The 20189-nt window shown below is 44.0% G+C and overlaps 1 long non-coding RNA gene, 4 pseudogenes, 1 gene segment (V, D, J or C) and 1 further gene, besides 2 other annotated features; 6 read left to right on the top strand and 1 right to left on the bottom strand.

Moving 5' to 3' along the window:
• Positions 3875-3924: an enhancer, noted in NCBI's record as "active region_9152". NCBI's record gives its function as "activates an Ori minimal core promoter by ATAC-STARR-seq in GM12878 lymphoblastoid cells {active_cell/tissue: GM12878}" and the evidence as "EXISTENCE:reporter gene assay evidence [ECO:0000049][PMID:35858748]".
• On the top strand, positions 3875-4166 carry IGHVIII-82 (immunoglobulin heavy variable (III)-82 (pseudogene); annotated as a pseudogene). The gene is given in 1 exon segment: positions 3875-4166. A coding segment is annotated over 1 exon segment (292 nt).
• Positions 3875-20189, top strand: part of IGH (immunoglobulin heavy locus) — a 1293408-nt gene continuing 1277093 nt past the window's right edge.
• The window catches only part of LOC124903399 (uncharacterized), a 32160-nt gene continuing 17719 nt past the window's right edge, over positions 5749-20189 (bottom strand). Inside the window, exons 2-3 of the long non-coding RNA XR_007064370.1 lie at positions 13893-19522; positions 5749-11446 (exon numbers count right to left, since the gene is read on the bottom strand). This is a non-coding gene — a long non-coding RNA (uncharacterized LOC124903399). The remainder of the gene's footprint in view (positions 11447-13892; positions 19523-20189) is intronic.
• On the top strand, positions 8702-9138 carry IGHV7-81 (immunoglobulin heavy variable 7-81 (non-functional)). The segment is given in 2 exon segments: positions 8702-8747; positions 8832-9138. Coding segments are annotated over 2 exon segments (353 nt in total), but the record flags the coding sequence as incomplete, so codon positions are not given.
• Positions 10533-10936, top strand: IGHV4-80 (immunoglobulin heavy variable 4-80 (pseudogene); annotated as a pseudogene). The gene is given in 2 exon segments: positions 10533-10578; positions 10662-10936. Coding segments are annotated over 2 exon segments (321 nt in total).
• Positions 10943-11022: a silencer, noted in NCBI's record as "silent region_6254". NCBI's record gives its function as "represses an Ori minimal core promoter by ATAC-STARR-seq in GM12878 lymphoblastoid cells {active_cell/tissue: GM12878}" and the evidence as "EXISTENCE:reporter gene assay evidence [ECO:0000049][PMID:35858748]".
• Positions 15627-16079, top strand: IGHV3-79 (immunoglobulin heavy variable 3-79 (pseudogene); annotated as a pseudogene). Its single transcript is given in 2 exon segments — positions 15627-15671; positions 15764-16079. Coding segments are annotated over 2 exon segments (361 nt in total).
• Positions 17824-18098, top strand: IGHVII-78-1 (immunoglobulin heavy variable (II)-78-1 (pseudogene); annotated as a pseudogene). The gene is given in 1 exon segment: positions 17824-18098. A coding segment is annotated over 1 exon segment (275 nt).

Here is a 20189-nt window from a genome sequence, read left to right as displayed (position 1 = left end):
GAGGCGCCTCGCAGGGCATGGACGCACGCCGGCGCATCCCCGGAGGGGAGTGGTGGCTGGGCGGGCGGGATTGAGGCGCGGTGCAGGCGCAGAGACGTACGTCGCTGGGCTGAGGGTGGCGGGCCGTGTTGCAGGCGCACAGTCGGATGGCGACAGGCGGGGCGCGCGGGGGTGGCACGGTGAAGTGTAGAGACACACGTCCCCGGCGGCGCGGCGCAGAGACGGGTGGAACCTGAGTAATCTGAAAAGCCTTTTTCGAGCGCCCCCTGCTTGCAGCCGGGCACTACAGGACCCAGTTGCACACGGTGCTGTGCCATTACGCCCCCTGCTGGCGACTAGGGCAACTGCAGGGCCCTGTAGGTGACAGTGGTGTCCAGCGCCCACTGCTGGCGCCGGGGCACGGCAGGGCTCTCTTGCTTGCAGTATAGTGGCGGCACGCCGCCTGCTGGCAGCTAGGGACATTGCAGGGCCCTCTTGCTCACATCGTAGTGGCAGCACGCCCGCCTGCTGGCAGCTGCGGACACTGCCGGGCCCTCTTGCAGACAAGGAGGTAAAATAACATTCTACAAAATGCCTGACCAATCCTCCTCAGTACTATCAAGATCATCATGAGATGGAAAGCCTGACACACTGTCACAGCCAGGAAGAGCCTACATGATGACTACATGTCATGGGGGATCCTGGATGGGATCTTGGGTCAGAGTAACACCCAAATGAAATATGAACTTTAGTTAATAATAGTCTATCAGTATTGGTTCATTAATTGTGACAAATTATGTAAGATATTAATAAGCCATGTGAGACACACTGATAGAAGATGTTAAGAGAGGAAACTAGGTTGCGGCTACATGGGAAATTTCTGCTTTTTTTGACAATTTCTGTGTAAGTAAAAAAAAGATGTAAAATAAAACTTTATTTAAAACACTTTTTTTGAACACTTCCTTGTTTAATTATTTATACCATGACTTACTAGTAATTGACACTGTTAACTATTCCGTTTTTTAAAATAAGAGCATTTATGACACAAAAAATTAAACAGTGCAGACTGATATATAAATCAAAACAAATGTTCTTTACATGTTTTCTGTTACAGTAGTAACACATATGTGTAAACTTAATTATCATATTTTTTTCTTGTGCTGTGGTTGTGTCCTGGGTTCATTCTCTGAAATGCTCTTCGCCTTAGACCAGGAAAAACATTAACCATACAGACTCTGTTTCAATTCATAGCTAAATATTTTCAAAAGAGTGACTTTGTAAAAATATGTTCCAATGGCAAATTGATTCATTGTGATGGGATGACTTATTCCAAAGACTTCTTGTCTTTATTTTGTTCCCATGCCTACCTTTTAGGCATAATACAACAGAATCAAATATTTGCCACCAGGAAAAAATATTCAAAGAAAGAAAGAATGTGAACAGAACTTATGACCATGATGATTCAATGTTTTACCACAATGCTTTCTAAAACAAAAGAGTGTAAAAGGATATTCAAAGTCAATTTCCTCAGCGAGGCTTTGCAGCAAATGAGGAAATTAGAAAAACAAAAATGGCAGGACATTCTACAGGTGATTTTAAATGTTGCTATGCTTTATGGGAAAAAAATACTTTACTTTTTAAAGAATCACAAAGAATTATCGGAAACCCAAACTCTGGAATGTTTGCAAATTTAATTGAGCTTCTGTGTAATTATGTCTATATAGGTAGCCACAAAGTCGATGGTTTTTTAAAAATCTGTGCCTTATTTGTGTAATAAAATAAACAAAGAATAATTAATGCTCATAGGAAAACCTTATGAAGGGAAAATAAATCTTGGGGACCCAAAATCACTAAAGCTAAAGGGAAAAGTCAAGCTGGGAACTGCTTAGGGCAAATCTGCCTCCCATTCCATCCAACGACACCCATCTGCTCACCGAGATAAATGCATACCTGATTGCCTCATTTGGAGAGGGTAATCAGCAATGCAAAAGAATGAAACCATTTGTCTCTTACCTACCTATGACCTGGAAGCCCCCTGTCTGGCCTTCTCACCTTTCTGGACTGAATCAATGTTCATCTTACACATACTGATTGATGTCTCATGTCTTCCTAAAGTGTATAAAACCAAGCTGCGCCCCAACCACCTTGGGCCCATGTTGTCAGGACCTCCTGAGGATGCATCACGGGTGCACATCCTCAAGATTGGCAAAATAAACTTTCTAAAAAATCTGAGAGCTCTCTCAGATTTTCAGGGTTCACACATGTAATGTAGGATGTCAATGTTTATAAAACAGACATTATTCTATCTACTATTAGAAATATGCTGCCAATTAACCTTAGACTTTCTCAACAAAATAAAAAATGTTGATGAGATACAAATAATATATCTAAGCTTAAATAGTGTTGCAAGTTTTAATATGCCTACTTTTCAATTTTTCAATACTATTTTTACTCCAAAGCCATGGTGACCCACGCTCGGGTGGGTCCTGAGGACAACAAAGCTCTGGTTCTGATCCTAACCCTAACCCTGTCCCAAGACTTTGACCCTGAACCTAAATCCTGATCCCTACCCTGGTCCCTAATTCTGACCCTTACTTTGACCCTGACTTTGAGCTTGACCTTGACCATGACCCCACCTCTAACCATACTTCCCGCCCTGACTCTGAACCAGATCCTAATCCTATCCCTAACCCTATTATTATATTTACAATCTATGTCTAATCTTACCGTCTAGTGCTAAATAGCTGTACCCAAAGGCACTTTTAAATTATTTAACTTCTTTTCCTTGAATTCTCTAAGGACATCCTAAAGGAGATGTCATTATGTATTTTGCATTCCCTCTGAGTGGTATGGCTTCAGATATGAACTTCTAATACTTTGCAAGACATAAAAAGTTTGGAGGGTAACAGCACTGGGTTGTTAGGGATGTATGTTGGCATTCATGGTAGTCATTGGTGCTGTTCTCCAAATATTTTCAGTTCATTTTTTATGAATGCATTCTGACTCTTCCATCCCACCTACTTAAATTTTCTAATGGCCACATGAGTTTTTTTTTGTTTTTTTTTTTTTGTTTTTTTTTTTTTTTGCCAATGGAGGTGAGAAGAAATAACATGTGACTTTTTCAGGAGAAATCTCCAAGAAACAGAGTTCTATTCTGCATGCTTTTTTCTCTTTTCTATAGCAATGGGGATCTTATTGATGGTCCCTCCTTCCGTCTGGATTCCTGTGTTAGGATGACACAGCACAGAGCTACCTCTCACCTGACCCGTGATGAGATGTTTTGTGGCAACATGATCTCAAGATAATGATAATTATAAAACCCTTTACTGACAAAATGTAGATCTCCATTTTTTCATTGTAATTTAACTTTGCCTTACTTTAAGAACAGTAGTTTGCAGCTCCAAATGCACTGATTAAAGACAGACGTCCATTTTCTCTGGAAATGTATTTTTATGTTCTTACTGGATGTATTTGCTGTTAATGTTTGCTACTATGAAGATACCTGAACAGTGTCCACATTAGAGAATAAGAGAAAGTAATGGGCAGATTAACCCTGTGCATCTAGACCCGGGAATCCTTTGACCCTACCCTCCCTGAAATGGAGACACAGAGGATGGATGAGAAAAACTGAGCAGTGCACCCATGATCACAAAAAGAATGACATGGAAATGTGCCTCTTCCCATCTCATGAAACGCAGCTCATCCTCTGTTCTTTCAGGCCCTTGGTGAAGAGCCACCCCATGTCTGTCCCTTCCTCAGTGTCCACACCATGAGGTCTGCACTGATCTGGGCTTCCCTTCTCATCACTCTCAGTATTAGTGTGCATTGTGAATCAGGTCCAGCTGTGGCTGCTCTGCATGGGGCTGCAGTCAGTACGTTTCCTCTGTGTTCATGTAAGTCCTGTTGAAGCTTACTGATGGAGTCAGAGGGGGAAACATTGTACAGCCCAGCGGTTCTCACAGACTCTCCTGCAAAGCCTCTGATTTCACTTGTACTGGCTACAGCATGAGCTTGGTCCAGCAGGCTTCATGACAGGGATTTGTGTGGGTGGCAACAGTGAGTTATCAGGGTTACTCTCCATGAGTACAAGTAAATTAACAGTCCCAAGCAACACCCTTTCAAGTGCAGTCTACCTTAAAATGACCAATGTGAAAGCCAAGGACAAGACCTTGTATTACTGTGAGTGACATAGGAGCAGGAACATCTGCGTGAGCCCAGACACAAAATCCTCTGCAGGGAGACAGGAGGGAATCGCATGGTAGATGCTGATTGGAACTACCATGGGTCGCTCAGAACTACCAGGAGGTACTCAGAACCACTAGGGGGCGCTCAGGACACCAGGGGACGCTCAGGACAACCAGGGGGTGTTCAGGACACCAGGGGGTGCTCCGAGCCACCAGGGGGCACTCAGGACACCAGGGGACGCTCAGAACCATTACTTCCTTGTAAATCCATGATTTCTTTACAAATGTTACTTCCAAAACATTAACTTAGAACCGGGAATTTTTTTTTTTTTGACAAAGTCTCCCTCTTGTCGCACAGGCTGGAGTGCAGTGGCATGATCTTGGCTCATGGCAACCTCCAACTCCCGGGTTCAAGCAATTCTCCTGCCTCATACTTCTGAGTAGCTGCCACCACGTGCCTGCCACCATGCCTGGCTAATGTTTGTACTTTTAGTAGAGACGGGGTTTCACCATGTTGACCAGGCTAGTCTCGAATTCATGACCTCAGGTGATCTGCCCCGCTAGGCTTCCCAAAGTGCTGGGATTACAGGCGTGAGCCACCATGCCCAGCCTATTTGAAGTTTTAATGCTGCGTGTTTTCTGAGTAACGCTAGCAATGATCTGTCAGAACAATTTTTAAAATAGGTTATTTATATATTTTATTAAAATACTATTATTAAAAGAGTAAAATTGTAAAAATTGCACCTGCAATCTCAGCACTTTGGGAGGTTGAGGCAGGCAGATCACTTGAGCTCAGGAGTTTTAGAACAGCCTGGCAACACAATGAAATCCTTTCTATACAAAAAAAATAGCTGGGTGTGATGCTGCCTGTGGTCCCAGATACTTGGAAGGCTGAGGTGGGGGGATCCCTTAATCCTGGGAGGTTGAGGCTGTAGTGAGATGTGATTGTACCACTGCACTCCAGCCTGGTTGACAGAGTGAGACCCTGTCTTAAAAAATGTGTATCCTCGATACACATTGTTTCCATGAATAGAGTTTAGTGTTTTTGTGCTGTGATACTCAAACAATTATATATGTTTTCTAACATTAACTCACCATATGCATGGTGTTTTGTTTCTTTTTCTTTCATCAGCTGAAAGTGGAATGGAAATTAAACACCACTTTAAAGGCTCTTGTTCTCCACTTTGGTTGGCTCCTGGTGTCCTGTTTTTCAGACTATTTCTCCATCTTCCCTTTTACTTTAAAAGTCTTTTATCTTCCTCAGTCACCATGCAGGAAATAAAAATTCCCTTTACTTTCTGTCCTCCAAGTCTGGTGAACAGTTTCCTTCTCTTCATAATAACTGAAGCCAACCAAGTTTAGGAGGATAACAGTTCTCCTTAGAATATGCTCATCTACCTGCAGACTCTCTGCCCTCCTCACCCTTTTCTAAGGTCCTGCAGACATCACCCTCATTCCATTCCCTCCCTTCCCTAAGTACGACAGAGTGGGCTCTGCAGCTCCTGCTGCCTTCTGTGTGCTCAGCCCTGGGGCTCCCTAGTGCTTTTGTTGCAGGACGATCAAAGATGGGAGAGACCAAACAGAGTTCAGGAGAGTCCTTTATTAAAAGGTGATCACCTGGCTCAGTTGGACTAGCATCCAGGAAAGTCTGAGCCCTGGACAAAGAAAGCAGCCACCTTTTACACAGTCAGTGGCTGGGAGCTACATGATGCAGGAAGCGTAATTACAGAAGAGAGAACAAAGGCAGTTATTTGTTACTTCATGTCTTACATCCTTGGGAATACATGGTTCTGTAACATATACTTAACAATCTTATGACCTTGCAGCTGTGCTGGGGAGGTAAGCAAGAACCCTCTGAGCCTCAAGGAATGTGAAACCAATGAGAACAGATAAGGCTCACTGAGCACAGAAGGAAAAACAGGCAGTTAGTATTCTCTAACTTAGACTACGGGGGAGGGGCTACACACTACAGTAAGCCCTGAGGGGAAAGTTAATTTTCTGGCTTTACATATTGTAAAATTCATAAATTACTTCTTCACTTTGATGATGAAGCCCAAATCCCCATGTGCTTACACTCTCTCAGACCACCCTCTAGGAAGCTGCCATTGTGAGTGAGCCCTAAAAAGCATGGGCTGGGTTTAGCTTCATATTGCTGGATGTTCTCTATTATAAAGGCATGTTGGCAAATAAAGACTACAGTTTGTATTGAATATTCATGCCAAAGAAGTTTTTTTCAAAACTTTTCAAGTAAAAAATTTTATCTTGCCTAGTTTGAAAATTACCATCTAAATTCAACAAATAAGGTAATACAGTTTTAAAAGTGATGTTTGTCTTATTAGTTATTCAATTTATTAACAACAGACTGATATTTAAAATAAATACCATTGCACATTTAAGTGCCATACTGTTCTGGGATTTTTTAAGGAATCAGAGAGACCGACTCTGTTCAGGAGGATATTTATTATTTAGGTTCAGGAGGATATTTATTATTTAGGTGCACCGGCCAAGTCGAATTAACATCCAAAGGACTGAGCCCAGAACAGAGTTCAGTTACCTTTTAAGCATTTTGTGGGGTGGGAGAGGGGACATCTGTGCAGGGTGAAGCATACTACAGAAGTGAGAAACAAAGACAGTTATTCAATTGAAACATGTATTACATCATTTCTTCCTTTTCAAGGAAAAACATGTTTTGCGACTTGAGTTTATCTTTCTAGTGACCTTGCAGCTACACTGCTAGGGAATCAGGGTCTTCAAAATGCCTGAGAAGGGAGGAGAGGTAAGGCTCATTAGCCACAGAAAAACAGGCAGTTAGTATTTTAAAGGACTCCAGCTCTTTCTCTTTTTCAGGGAGAATTGGGTTTTCTTACATACAACTGAGTTTCTGCTTACACATTCTTTAATTTCTTTTAATTCCTGTTTCAATACTTGACAAGAATGGCATTTACATACAGTTTTACCAAAACATGTATTTAAATATATTTGTCTTTTTAATATTGGAATAGGCAGACATACACGTAGATCAGCATTATTTTGTACTAAAATCTCAAACTGCAAACACAATTTAAATTCAATTAAATAATTAGAATAATATGAAACAAATGGGTGTGTTGTTTTGGTGTTTACGTATGCATTCACTTTTGCATGGGCACATGTATGAGTCTTTGCTGGGCTGTTGTGCACGTATGTGTGTTTGTATGACCAGGAGGTTTTCAAATACATCATTAAATTACATAGTTATATTAATCTTGGCAAGGCACTTGTATTCTGTTTTCTTTAATTCTGTTTGCAGAAAGTAGACACATATTCAGTCTTAGTTCCAGTGTAGGGAGTGCTTTTCATGAGAAAAATACCAGAAAAAAGGGCAAACATGGGGCCCACTAATGTAAAAATTAGCCACAATGTGTATGTGTGTGTGTGTGTGTGTGTGTGTGTGTCTGAGTTGAATAGTAGAGTTGGAGTGGGCTTCTATCCACATGCACCTGCGCCTACAGGTATTATCAGGTACAATAATCAACTGCAGAACCCTAAAGGAAATAAGAGTCCCCCCAAACCCCTGAAGAGTGTTTGGGTTCACCATGTGTCCAATGATTCAGTGCCTCTCGAGCTCCAGGAAACGGCTCCCTGGTGATGCGTGAGATCTTTTCTTGGGGTGTCCCTGCAGAGTTCGCTGGGTTTCCTAAGGCTGATTCACTATTTCAAAAGATGGTGTGAGAAGCATATGGTGTAAATAAAGCAGAATTCTGAGCCAGGGCACAGCCACTTTATACTGGGCTAGAGACACTGGTAGGAATATACTCTGTCAGCTCAGATAGAAACCTCCCTGCAGGGTGGGGGCAGGGCTGCAGGGGGCGCTCAGGACACATCGAGCACAGTCTTCCGCCCCAGAGCAGGTGCACATGAGGCTGGGGAGAGGTTCCTCTCAGGGCCTGGGACTTCCTTTAAAAATATCTAAAATAAGTATTTCACAAGGACTGCTGATGTTTGTATAAATATCCTATTCAATTGTGAGCATTTATCAAACTGGATGTTGTAATGAGAACCACTTTTATAATGGCGATTTCAAACTCTGCTAGTTATCTTAATAATAGCAGCTGGAGGTCAGGAAGAGATTATTACTTATAAATAAGTGCAATTTTTGGAGAGACACACTCATTCCCAAAATAACGCATTCACATATTAAGGTCTAGAAATGGTTCACGTTGCCCCTGAGACATTCAAATGTGGGTTCAAAGTGAGGTGCTGTCCTCGGGGAGTTGTTCCCCAGTGGAGGAAGCTCTGTCAACACAGAGTTCAGGGATGGGTAGGGGATGCATGGCCTCTAACAGGATTACGACTCGAACCCTCAGCTTCTACAATTGTGTCGTCCGTGTGTCATGGATTTTCTCTTTCTCATACTGGGTCAGGAATTGGTCTATTAAATAGCATCCTTCATGAATATGCAAATAACTGAGGGGAATATAGTATCTCTGTACCCTGAAAGCATCACCCAACAACAACATCCCTCCTTGGGAGAATCCCCTAGAGCACAGCTCCTCACCATGGACTGGACCTGGAGCATCCTCTTCTTGGTGGCAGCAGCAACAGGTAAGGGGCTCCCCAGTCTCAGGGCTGAGGAAGAAACCAGGCCACTCAAGTGAGGCTTTACCCACCCCTGTGTCCTCTCCACAGGTACCTACTCCCAGGTGCAGCTGGTGCAGTCTGGCCATGAGGTGAAGCAGCCTGGGGCCTCAGTGAAGGTCTCCTGCAAGGCTTCTGGTTACAGTTTCACCACCTATGGTATGAATTGGGTGCCACAGGCCCCTGGACAAGGGCTTGAGTGGATGGGATGGTTCAACACCTACACTGGGAACCCAACATATGCCCAGGGCTTCACAGGACGGTTTGTCTTCTCCATGGACACCTCTGCCAGCACAGCATACCTGCAGATCAGCAGCCTAAAGGCTGAGGACATGGCCATGTATTACTGTGCGAGATACACCATGTGGAAACCCACATCCTGAGAGTGTCAGAAATCCTGATGTGGGAGGCAGCTGTGCTGAGCTGAGGCAGTGATGCAGCAGTTTCCTTAACTTCCATCTTATCTCATTTTGCATCGACATCCACCTTTATATTAGCCAAGAATGTGGAATAGACGGGTGCTCATAAGAGATCCTTAACTTGCCCATTTTAATGGGTTTTCCAGAAGATGTGAGAAGCCACTTTGTTAGCAAAACATGCCAAAGCCATGCCCTGCTCCAGACACATGTGAGCCCATTTCCTGCTCTTTGCTTAACTGACAAGCTCTCATCAGTGCACCTGGGCTAATTTCACATCAGGTACAGGAATATGTTCTAAAGGAAAGCTAATTTTATAATAGCAATTCCTGCTTAATAACCTTCAGCTTCATTGTTTTTGTGTAATCTATCAACAAATTATGTTAGTTCAAGGTTCTCAATGGGAGTTTCTAATAAATAGAAGGGATGTATAGAAGTTCCCCTAATTAAAACAATTGTGAACACAATCTTGGTATTCAGCTGTGTCTCCACCCTTCTTACCATTCACCACAAAGTAATTCTCACTTCTGGAAGCTGGGTTCATTTTCAAATTAGTTTTTTTTTTCATTTTAATATCTCAAGGTTATTGTATGTGACTATTTTAGCAGAAATTGAATTTTGGGAAATTGAACTAACCAACTGAAAATAAATTCACAACTAAATAACAAGATGCCAGAATATAATTGGCTCCAGGCTTTGTTAATTCAGCAGTTTATCTACCTAGGCATTATATTTACACATCTTCATGCTATTTTTACAGTCAACTCCCATTATGTAAGAAATGGTCATACACCATTTCTTACATATGGTAAGATATCTACGATGGATATTCAGAACTACGATAAACATTGGATGCATCCAGGTTTGTCTGAACTCACTGAGATTATTACACTCAGCTGCTGTTTCAATGTGTCTGAAGGTATAAATGACAATTCGAATGACTTGGGTGTGTGGATGGTTTTACATGAGTCTTTAAGTGTAGAACAATATTGACCCTGTTCCAAAATCTGTCCTTGATCCATGATCACACTCATCTCCCAGAACAGCTCCTTCAACACATTTCCTATCTGGATGAAGAGGACTCTGTGCTTGGTGAGGGGAGGCCACAGGTAGAGAACTGAGTTCTCAGAGGGCACAGCCAGCATCCTCCTCCCAGGGTGAACCCGAAAGACTGCGGCCTCCCTCATCCCTTTTCATCTCTCCATACAAAGGCACCACCCACATGCAAATCCTCACTTAAGCGCCCACAGGAAACCACCACACATTTCCTTAAATTCGGCGTTCTGCTTACACGGGAAATGCTTTCTGAGAGTCATGGACCTCGTGTGAAAAGAACATGAAAAACCTGTGGTTCTTCCTCCCCCTGGTGGCAGCTCCCAGAAGTGAGTGTCTCCAGGATGCAGATATGAAGATATGGGAGGCTGCATCTGAGCCCAGGGCTCACAGTGGGTCTCTGTGTTCACAGGGGTCCTGTCCCAGGTGCAGCTGCAGGAGTGGGGCCCAGGACTGGTGAAGCCTTCGGAGACCCTGTCCCTCACATGCGCTGTCTCTGGTGACTCCATCAGCAGTGGTAACTGGTGGAGCTGGGTCCGCCAGTCCCCAGGGAAGGGGCTGGAATGGATTGGATACATCTATTATAGTGGGAGGAGCTACTACACCCCGTCCCTCAGGAGTTGAGTCACCATGTCAATAGAAACGTCCAAGAACCAGTTTTCCCTGAAGCTGAGCTCTGTGACCGCAGGGAGGCGGAGGGGGCGGGCGCAGGTGCCGCTCAGGACCAGCAGGGGGCGCGCGGGGCCCACAGAGCATGAGGCCGGGTCAGGAGCAGGTGCAGGGAGGGCGGGGCTTCCTCATCTGCTCAGGGCTCTCCCTCCTCGCCAGCACCTCAGCTGTCTCCAGGGCTCCTCTTTCTTTCTTATCTGTGGTTCTGCTTCCTCACATCCTTGTGGCAGGCAAGAAAGGAGGACGACAGGCCTGGTGCGGTGGTGTATGCCTGTAATCCCCGCACTTTGGGAGGCCGAGGCGGGTGGATCACCTGACGTCTGGAGTTCGAGACCAGCCTGACCAACATGGAGAAACCCCGTCTCTACTAAAAGTACAAAATTAGCCAGGCGTGGTGGCGCATGCCTGTAATCCCAGCTACTCCGGAGGCTGAGGCAGGAGAACGGCTTGAACCTGGGGGGCGGAGGTTGCTGTGAGCCGAGATCGTGCCATTGCACTCCAGCCTGGGCAACAAGAGCAAAACTCCGTCTAAAAAAAAATAAAAGGAAGAAGACAAATTTTCCTCTTACAGTCGAAGTATCAACAATACTAGGAACTTTCCTACGAGTTCCTGAATGGCCCCTTTTTTCCTTCTTGATTAAAAAAAAGTTCTAATGCTTCTCACCATCTCTTTATTTGTGTCGTCAATTGAATTGTGCCCTCTTTGAAATTCATATACTGAAATCTTGAATCCAGTGGATCTATATTGGAATTTTAAGTATATAATTAAGGTTAAATGTGGTCATACGTGTGAGACCCTAAAGCAATAGACATGTTGTCTTTATAAGAAGAGGAAGAGACACCAGAGACCTCTCACTTTTCACGTGCACATAGAAAGGAGGCCATGTGGACACACAGTGGACTAGAAGGTGGCCCTGGGCAAGCCAGGAAGAAGCCGCACCAAGAACCACCCTGCCAGCACCGTGATCTTGGACATTCAGACTGCAGAATTGTAAGAAAGTCAGTATTTGTTGTTTATGCCACCCACTCCTGTTGTCTTCTTGTGAAGACCCACACAGACTAATACTACATAACTCTGTTAGCTTTGTCTCCTAGAAGGAGAAGCAGGCCCCTGAGGCTGGGCACATCTCAGATTTCCATATAAAGTAGGCAAAAATAGTAACTCTTATAAAAAAATGTGTCAAGGCCCTTTCTTTCTTTTTTTTCTTTGAGACAGAGTCTCGCTCTGTCACCAGGCTGGAGTGCAGTGGCACGATCTCGGCTCACTACAACCTCCACCTCCAGGGTTCAAGTGATTCTCCTTCCTCAGCCTCCCAAGTACCTGGGACTACAGGCACCCGCCACCAACCCTGGCTAATTTTTTGTATTTTTAGTAGAGATGGGGTTTCACCATGTTAGCAAGGATGGTCTCGATCTCCTGACCTCGTGATCCTCCCGCCTCACCTCCCAAAGTGCTGGGATTACAGGTGTGAGCCACCATTGGCCATTTTTGGTGGAAAGGTCTCTGAAACCAACCCTGGTGTCTGTGCCACAAAAGTTGTCTTTTATCTTTTATTTGGACATAACAAATGGACAGTGAGTACCACCTGGATGGAGACTGACCACTGACCATCTTCTGCTGTCTCCTAAGTATGTCAAAGAAAACCACATCGACATCACTATTTTTCTTCAACCTCCTCGAATGAACTATAGAAATGATCCCTGAAAGTATAGTCTATTCCTTCAACCTTCTAAATTTGCACTAAATCTCTTCCTAAATGAGGAGCTACAGGGGGTCTGAGTTTTATTCCCTTCTTTCCAGTTTTCCCCAAGTACAAAGAGCAGAATAGACTTTCAGTGAAATTTGGCTGACAATGCCCCTAACACCACATCACTTTCTAAAACCCATATCCTGCCTCCATCCTTCTCTGGACACCCCTCATCGGGCTACCCAGGAATGGCCAGAAGCTGGCATCAGCTTCTGGGCTGAGGCCACGAGCTATACACACATGTGATTTCAGTTACACAGACTCTACTGCAGGACCACACCTGTGTTCTGAGGCACTCAGGCACCTGCTGATCTCAGTCATTCTCTAATAAATTACACACCTCTTATTAATAAAGGTCCAAATGGTCCCATCAGCTGCAGAGCAGTGGAGTAAAGCTCATGGGTGGGTCCGTCAGGCAGAAGTCAGACAATGGGATGGGTAGGTTGGTCACCTCCATTGTCACTGAGGTTCCCAGTGGATTTTAACAGAATAAAACAATATTAACAACAAAGGGATCTTGAAAGTATTTAAGGTCCAGGAATTTTGTTTGGGGGGCTAGAGAAAGACATTTTTAAACAGAAAGCCCTAAAGCACATACAGCAGCTGACAGAGTGGCCACTGTGCACATGACGGCTGAGGAGACAGATGGTAGGGGACATTCCCCCAAGATGTCCCTGGGTGTGTGATGGTTGGACTCCTCATGCATATGAAAATAAGAGCTGGACTCAGGTAGAAACAAGGGCCATACCCCATAGGAAAGGAAGAAAAAAACAGATGGGCAACCCTGGAGAGAGCTCATTAGATTTGGTAGGTTTGAGATGAAAATTACTTCCATGGATTTTAATGTTCTAAGCTAAGTAAGAATCTCTTCAATAAAGTGAGAATTAAAAGGAGAATGGAGCTAGGAGTTGAGAGAGGCAACAAATAATGAGAGAGCAGAAAGCAAATCCACAAAAAACTGTCACATGACAGAGGCCAGAATGGAGCTGATGCAGCTGCGTCATTTCCTACAGACCTAGTTGACCATGTGGAGAAGAGGCTTGAACAAATGGGGACGTTCTCCAACCTTCCAAATCAGCCTTCTTCTTAGGCTTGAGTAGTAATCATGGTTCTGAGGGTGACCTTCCAAATTTTCCTGTCTGTACCTCTTCCACCAGGGGTAGAGTGTCTTCCCAACCATAATGGTTTCTCTCCAGTGTCCTCAGCTTCTCCTCCTTTGTACTTACCCTGCAGATTAAGGATTTCTTCTAGATGGAGTTTCCTGGGAATCCTCTGTTTTCTTTTGTTTCTGTTGACTCCACCACACCCCATAGGTCACAGGTTTGATTGGATTTCCCCTGGAGACAGTGGAGGTGGATCCAGGCGTTCAACAGTCCTCGCTGTTCTTCCCTTCCTGTCAGCACCACAGGACAGCAGATAAGGGAGTTGACTGTGGATTTTTCAAATTCCTGGGAAAAGCCTGCAAGGACTAGTAGATTCACACTCTAATACCATTAGCACATGCATCCAAAAAAAATCCTCACTAAATATTTCCAGGTTAGCCTGTTCCTCTCTCAATGCCATCCAGTGGCACCTGCCCTGGGTTCACTAACATGTGGGCCCCAGTCCTCTCTGCAGGCCTCTCTCTCCTCACATTTCAGTCTTCTTGCTTTCTCTGTGAAACTAACTCACAAATGTTACAGGTTTTTCTTCTTCCTTTATTCACAGTTTTTCAGGTTTGTTGTTAATGAGGACAGAATAAGATCATAGTTTCCTCATTTTTCACATTCCCACACTGAGTAGATTTCTATATAAAAGCCAGAAACTAAGAGAACAAATCAAATATCCATATCCATTACAGGTGAATGTTAAACAATTTGACATAAGATTATGAAGTAAAGTACAATGCAGCATTAGAATCAAGGCATCCTCATTCACATAAAGTCATGGCTACATTCACAAATAACTGCGCTGAGTGGAAGTAGCTAAAGTATTAACAGTGCACTTCATAAACTTCTATTTGTATAAACTGTAGAAGGTAAAACTATTCTAAAGTAACAGAGAAGAGAATTTGGTGAGAATTGGGTGTTGAAAGTAATGGGGTGTTGAGATGAAATTACAGAGAAGTGACAGAAAGATTTAGAGGTTAACTTAATTGCACACGACTTAATTGAAACCCTGATTAAAGGGTTGCACACATACATTAACATATTCCAAATTGTGCAGTATATATTTGAATTAATTATTTGTTAATTTTGTACTTAAAAAAGCAGTAACAAAGAAACAAATGAATGTGTTGGTTGAGGAGGAGCAAAAAATAGATGGCTATTAACACTTGAAACATCGCTGACTTTTGAAAGTACACATGTATGAACACTGGTTCTCTCTATATATATTTCAGATAAACAACAGAATACACTAAAAGAAAACAGAGATATCCTGGCAGGGGTGGAATCCTGCAAACCTCACTAGGCATGTCCCACACTGCCCTGGAGTTGTCTCAGGGGAGCAGTCTTCTCTAGTGGTCAGAGGCACAGGCATGGATAATGGGACTAATTCTGTCCAGCTGTGTGATCTTGACCATATTGTACAGCCACTCTGTTCTGTGTGTAATGTAAATTCCTTAAAATGTAACATTGACACTTGCATTAAATGTATTCTGCAAATATGTAGAAATGAAATAAGATGATGACTGCTAAATAGTTATCAAGGCATGATCACATAATATAAAATGATATTTTCCTGAGTGATAAGATGACTACCAATCTCCCCCAAGGCACTTTGTCTGCTCTGACCCCTGCCCCTCCTCAGGATTCCCATCCCAGAGCTTGCTATACAGTAGGAGACATGCAAACAGGTTTCTCCCTTTGTTGATGAAAACCAGCCCAGTCCTGACCCCGTAGGTTTGGGAGAGAAGCCCCAGCCCTGGGATTCCCAGGGGTTTCCGTTTTGTGATCAGGACTAAAGACAGAGGACCCATCATGGAGTCTGGGCTGAGCTGGGTTTCACAGTTGTTATTTTAAAAGGTAAACCAGAGAAATAGAGTGTGAGTGAATATATTTGAGAGAAACAGTGGATATGTCAGGCAGTTTCTCACCAGGATCTCTACGAGTTTACGGGTGTCCAGTGTGAGGTACAGCTGGTGGAGTCTGGAGAGGACCCAAGACAACCTGGGGTTCCCTGAGACTCTCCTGTGCAGCCTCTGGATTAACCTTCAGTAGCTACTGAATGAGCTCGGTTTCCCAGGCTCCAGGGAAGGGGCTGGAGTGAGTAGTAGATATACAGTGTGATGGAAGTCAGATATGTTATGCACAATCTGTGACGAGCAGATTCACCGTCTCCAAAGAAAATGCCAAGAACTCACTGTATTTGCAAATGAACAGTCTGAGAGCAGAGGGCACAGCTGTGTGTTACTGTATGTGAGGCACCAGGTAAGAAGACATCAGTGTGAACACAGACACAGAGGTTCCTGTAATGATAAGGGAGGAGGCTGGGATAAAGGGAGCACTCAAGACCCACAGAAAACAGGGGAAGCTCTAGGGCAGGTGCAGACGGTCGTCATGGGCTACTTTCCTTCAGGGTCTGTGGCTTTCTCTGCATCCAACAGTTCCCCTGGGAGCCTCTTGACATTTATGTTTCTGTGCCCATCCCTGAGGTCTCTGGATTAGAAAAATTTATTATAAGAAGTGGAAACATTCTCATTTGTCCCAAAGGCAGATGTAAGTAATGGAGGCATAAAAATGCACAGGAGGCCAGGGAGGCTGTAGACACTGCCACCCCAGAATGTCAATCTCACCACTAGTGCTGGAGAAGAGTGGGAGTTTGATGGAGCTTACCTAAATACCCTGGGTCCAAGCTAAGTTCAGCGAGGCCACTGGTGCCTCCCAGAGCTCAGTTGTCCATCAGGAATCTCCCATGTGTCCCAGCAGCAGCCATGCCTCAGTACTTCCGCTGTGCACAGCCATTGTCTGGGAGGAGCTCCCAGGTTGGGTGTCTTTGGCACACACCAGGTGACAGGTGTTAGAGTGCAGTGCAGCAGCTGGCTGCCTGGTCTATTGGGCTCCCTGATGTTGGAGAGATGGGAGGTGGATTCTCAGGGCCAGCACCCAGTTTGTGAATTTTTATATAAAAACCATGATTTTACTTCATTTTCTCAGATGACATAGATAATTAAGAACAGAGTCTGGTCCGGACGTGGTGGCTGATGCCTGTAATCCCAGCACTTTGGGAGGCCAAGGCGGGCAGATCACCTGAGGTCGAGAGTTCGAGACCAGCCTGACCAATATGGAAAAATCCATGTCTACTAACAATACAAAATTAGCCAGGCATGGTAGCATATGCCTGTAATCCCAGCTACTAGGGAGGCTGAGGCAGGAGAATCGCTTGAACCCGGGAGGTGAAGGTTATGGTGAGCCAAGATCACACCATTACACTCCAGCCTGGGCAACAAGAGTGAGACTCCATCAAAAAAAAAAAACAACAAAAAAAAAACAGACTTTGCAAAATAATGTTCAACCTTATCCCAAATTCATTGTTTCTTAATTCTGTGCAGCATCCAGACATATTATTACCTTCCTCATGATGAATTGTTCTGTTTAAACTGAGATCAGTTTTTTCTCATATTCTTTGGTTTCTGTCTAAGAACAGAGATCTTGATTACAGTAAGGTTGGTTCTTTCCTCATACTAACCCTCACCTCCCCCAGAGAAAGAGCAGAGATTGTCCTCACTCTGAGTCTGAGGGAGGAGCTGTTCCTGTACAACTCAGAGCCTGCAGAGACCCCCAGGTGCAGCTTCAGTGAGTCAGACATTTCTCCATGTGGGTGACCTCCACTGCCAGTGATTGCTGCTGAGGTCTAATTGTGGGTTAATAATTAGGACACCCTTCAGGTTGTCACATCCCAATCCTATTCTGAACATCACCATTATCATAGACAGAGATAGTTCAATGCCCATTCTACTGACATAAGTTTCTCTTTATAATTTGGTTCCAACTATGGAGAAAAACGTGACCCTATATTTGTCTGAATCTAACCTCAGAATCTGCTGCATTGCTCTAGGAGATTCACAAATTGAACACAAGTGAGCTGTTTATTCTCATAAAAATGTACATATTTGAGAATTTCAATGTATTGCCCAGAACCTGTGCATGCCAACAACTGTGTTTCTCAGCGCACTCTTGGCCTGGTGAAGCCCTCACAGACCCTCTCCCTTACCTGCGCTGTGTCTGTGTTCCCCATGATAACGAGGTCTTCCTGCTGAAGCTGGATCCATCAGCCCCCCAGGGAAGGGAATGGAGTGGATTGGGTGCATAGGTCATGAAGGGAGCACACATTACCACCCACTCCTCAAGTGTCCAGTCACCATCCCCAGATCCGTGTCCAAAAAAGCAGTTCTTCCTACAGCTGAGCTACATGAGCAACAAGCACATAGCCATGTATTTTTAAGCCAAAGACACAGTGAGGGAATCACAGTGTGAGCTCACACCCAAACCTCCCTGTGGGGGTGCATAGGACAGAAGGGGTTGCTCAGGTCCCCAGGGGGCTCTCAGGACACCAAGGGGCACTCAAGACCATTGTAGAGGCACGCAGGTCAGCCGGGGGCTCTCAGGAACCATCGAGGAAAATCAGGACACCAGAGGGTGCTCGGTACAGCAGGGGGCTCAGGACCATTGTGAGGACTCAGAAAGAGCAGGTTCAAGGCTCAGCCTTAGGGCAGGTGAAGCTGGGATGAAAAGGGGCTGGATGAGGGGTTTTGTGTCACCATCATATTTCACCACTAGACACCCTCCACTACATCTGTTCTAATGCATGTTCTAACACATGTGAGTGTTTGTATGACTAGAAAATGATATTTTGGGGCCAGGTGCAGTGACTCATGCCTGTAATCCCAGCACTTTGGGAGGCTGAGGCGGGCAGATCACCTGAGGTCAGGAGTTCAAGACTAGCCTGGCCAACATGATGAAACTCCGTTTCTACTAAAAATACAAATATTAGCCAGGCCCAGTGGCACACGCCTGTAATCCCAGCTACTCGGGAGGCTGAGGCAGGAGAATCGCTTGAACCTGGGAGGCAGAGGTTGCGTTGAGCCAAGATGTGCCACTGCACTCCAGCCTGGGCAACAGAGCGAGACTCCATTAAAAAAAAGAGAGAAAAAAAGAAAATGATATTTATATCAATATATAACCATAGCTAGGTGTGTCAAGTTGTCCTCTCCATCTATGTCAGCCTTGTCCATAAGGACTAATTCCCTGTAATTTCTTGAGGACCTCATAAACTGTGGTCAATTATGTAATATTCCTCTCTTTTTTCTGCCTTCCTTCCTGCCTTCTCTCTCTCACACAGAAACTGACGTACACCCACCCCACAACACACATAAATCTATACCTTTTATTACCTGATGTATTTAATAAACTTGATTAATGTGCAGCTTTTCAAGCTTAGTTGCTTGTGAGGTTGTAAGAATAAGAACCATTTTTTCAAAGGGAATGCTTCCAGTTTTTGCCCATTCAGTATGATATTGGCTGTGGGTTTGTCATAGATAGCTCTTATTATTTTGAAATACGTCCCATCGATACTTAATTTATTGAGAGTTTTTAGCATGAAGGGTTGTTGAATTTTGTCAAAGGCTTTTTCTGCATCTATTGAGATAATCATGTGGTTTTTGTCTTTGGCTTTGTTTATATGCTGGATTACATTTATTGATTTGCGTATATTGAACCAGCCTTGCATCCCAGGGATGAAGCCCACTTGATCATGGTGGATAAGCTTTTTGATGTGCTGCTGGATTCGTTTTGCCAGTATTTTATTGAGGTTTTTTGCATCAATGTTCATCTGACAAAGGGCTAATATCCAGAATCTACAATGAACTCCAACAAATCTACAAGAAAAAAAAAACAACCCCATCAAAAAGTGGGCGAAGGACATGAACAGACACTTCTCAAAAGAAGACATTTATGCAGCCAAAAAACACATGAAAAAATGCTCATCATCACTGGCCATCAGAGAAATGCAAATCAAAACCACAATGAGATACCATCTCACACCAGTTAGAATGGCAATCATTAAAAAGTTAGGAAACAACAGGTGCTGGAGAGGATGTGGAGAAATAGGAACATTTTTACACTGTTGGTGGGACTGTAAACTAGTTCAACCATTATGGAAGTCAGTGTGGCAATTCCTCAGGGATCTGGAACTGGAAATACCATTTGACCCAGCCATCCCATTACTGGGTATATACCCAAAGGACTATAAATCATGCTGCTATAAAGACACATGCACACGTATGTTTATTGCGGCATTATTCACAATAGCAAAGACTTGGAACCAACCCAAATGTCCAAAAATGATAGACTGGATTAAGAAAATGTGGCACATATACACCATGGAATACTATGCAGCCATAAAAAATGATGAGTTCATGTCCTTTGTAGGGACATGGGTGAAATTGGAAATCATCATTCTCAGTAAACTATCGCAAGAACAAAAAACCAAACACCGCATATTCTCCCTCATAGGTGGGAATTGAACAATGAGATCACATGGAC

This window comes from Homo sapiens, chromosome 14, assembly GCF_000001405.40.
Source record: "Homo sapiens chromosome 14, GRCh38.p14 Primary Assembly".
NCBI lineage: Eukaryota > Metazoa > Chordata > Mammalia > Primates > Hominidae > Homo > Homo sapiens.
This window is presented reverse-complemented; position numbering and strand designations above follow the sequence as displayed.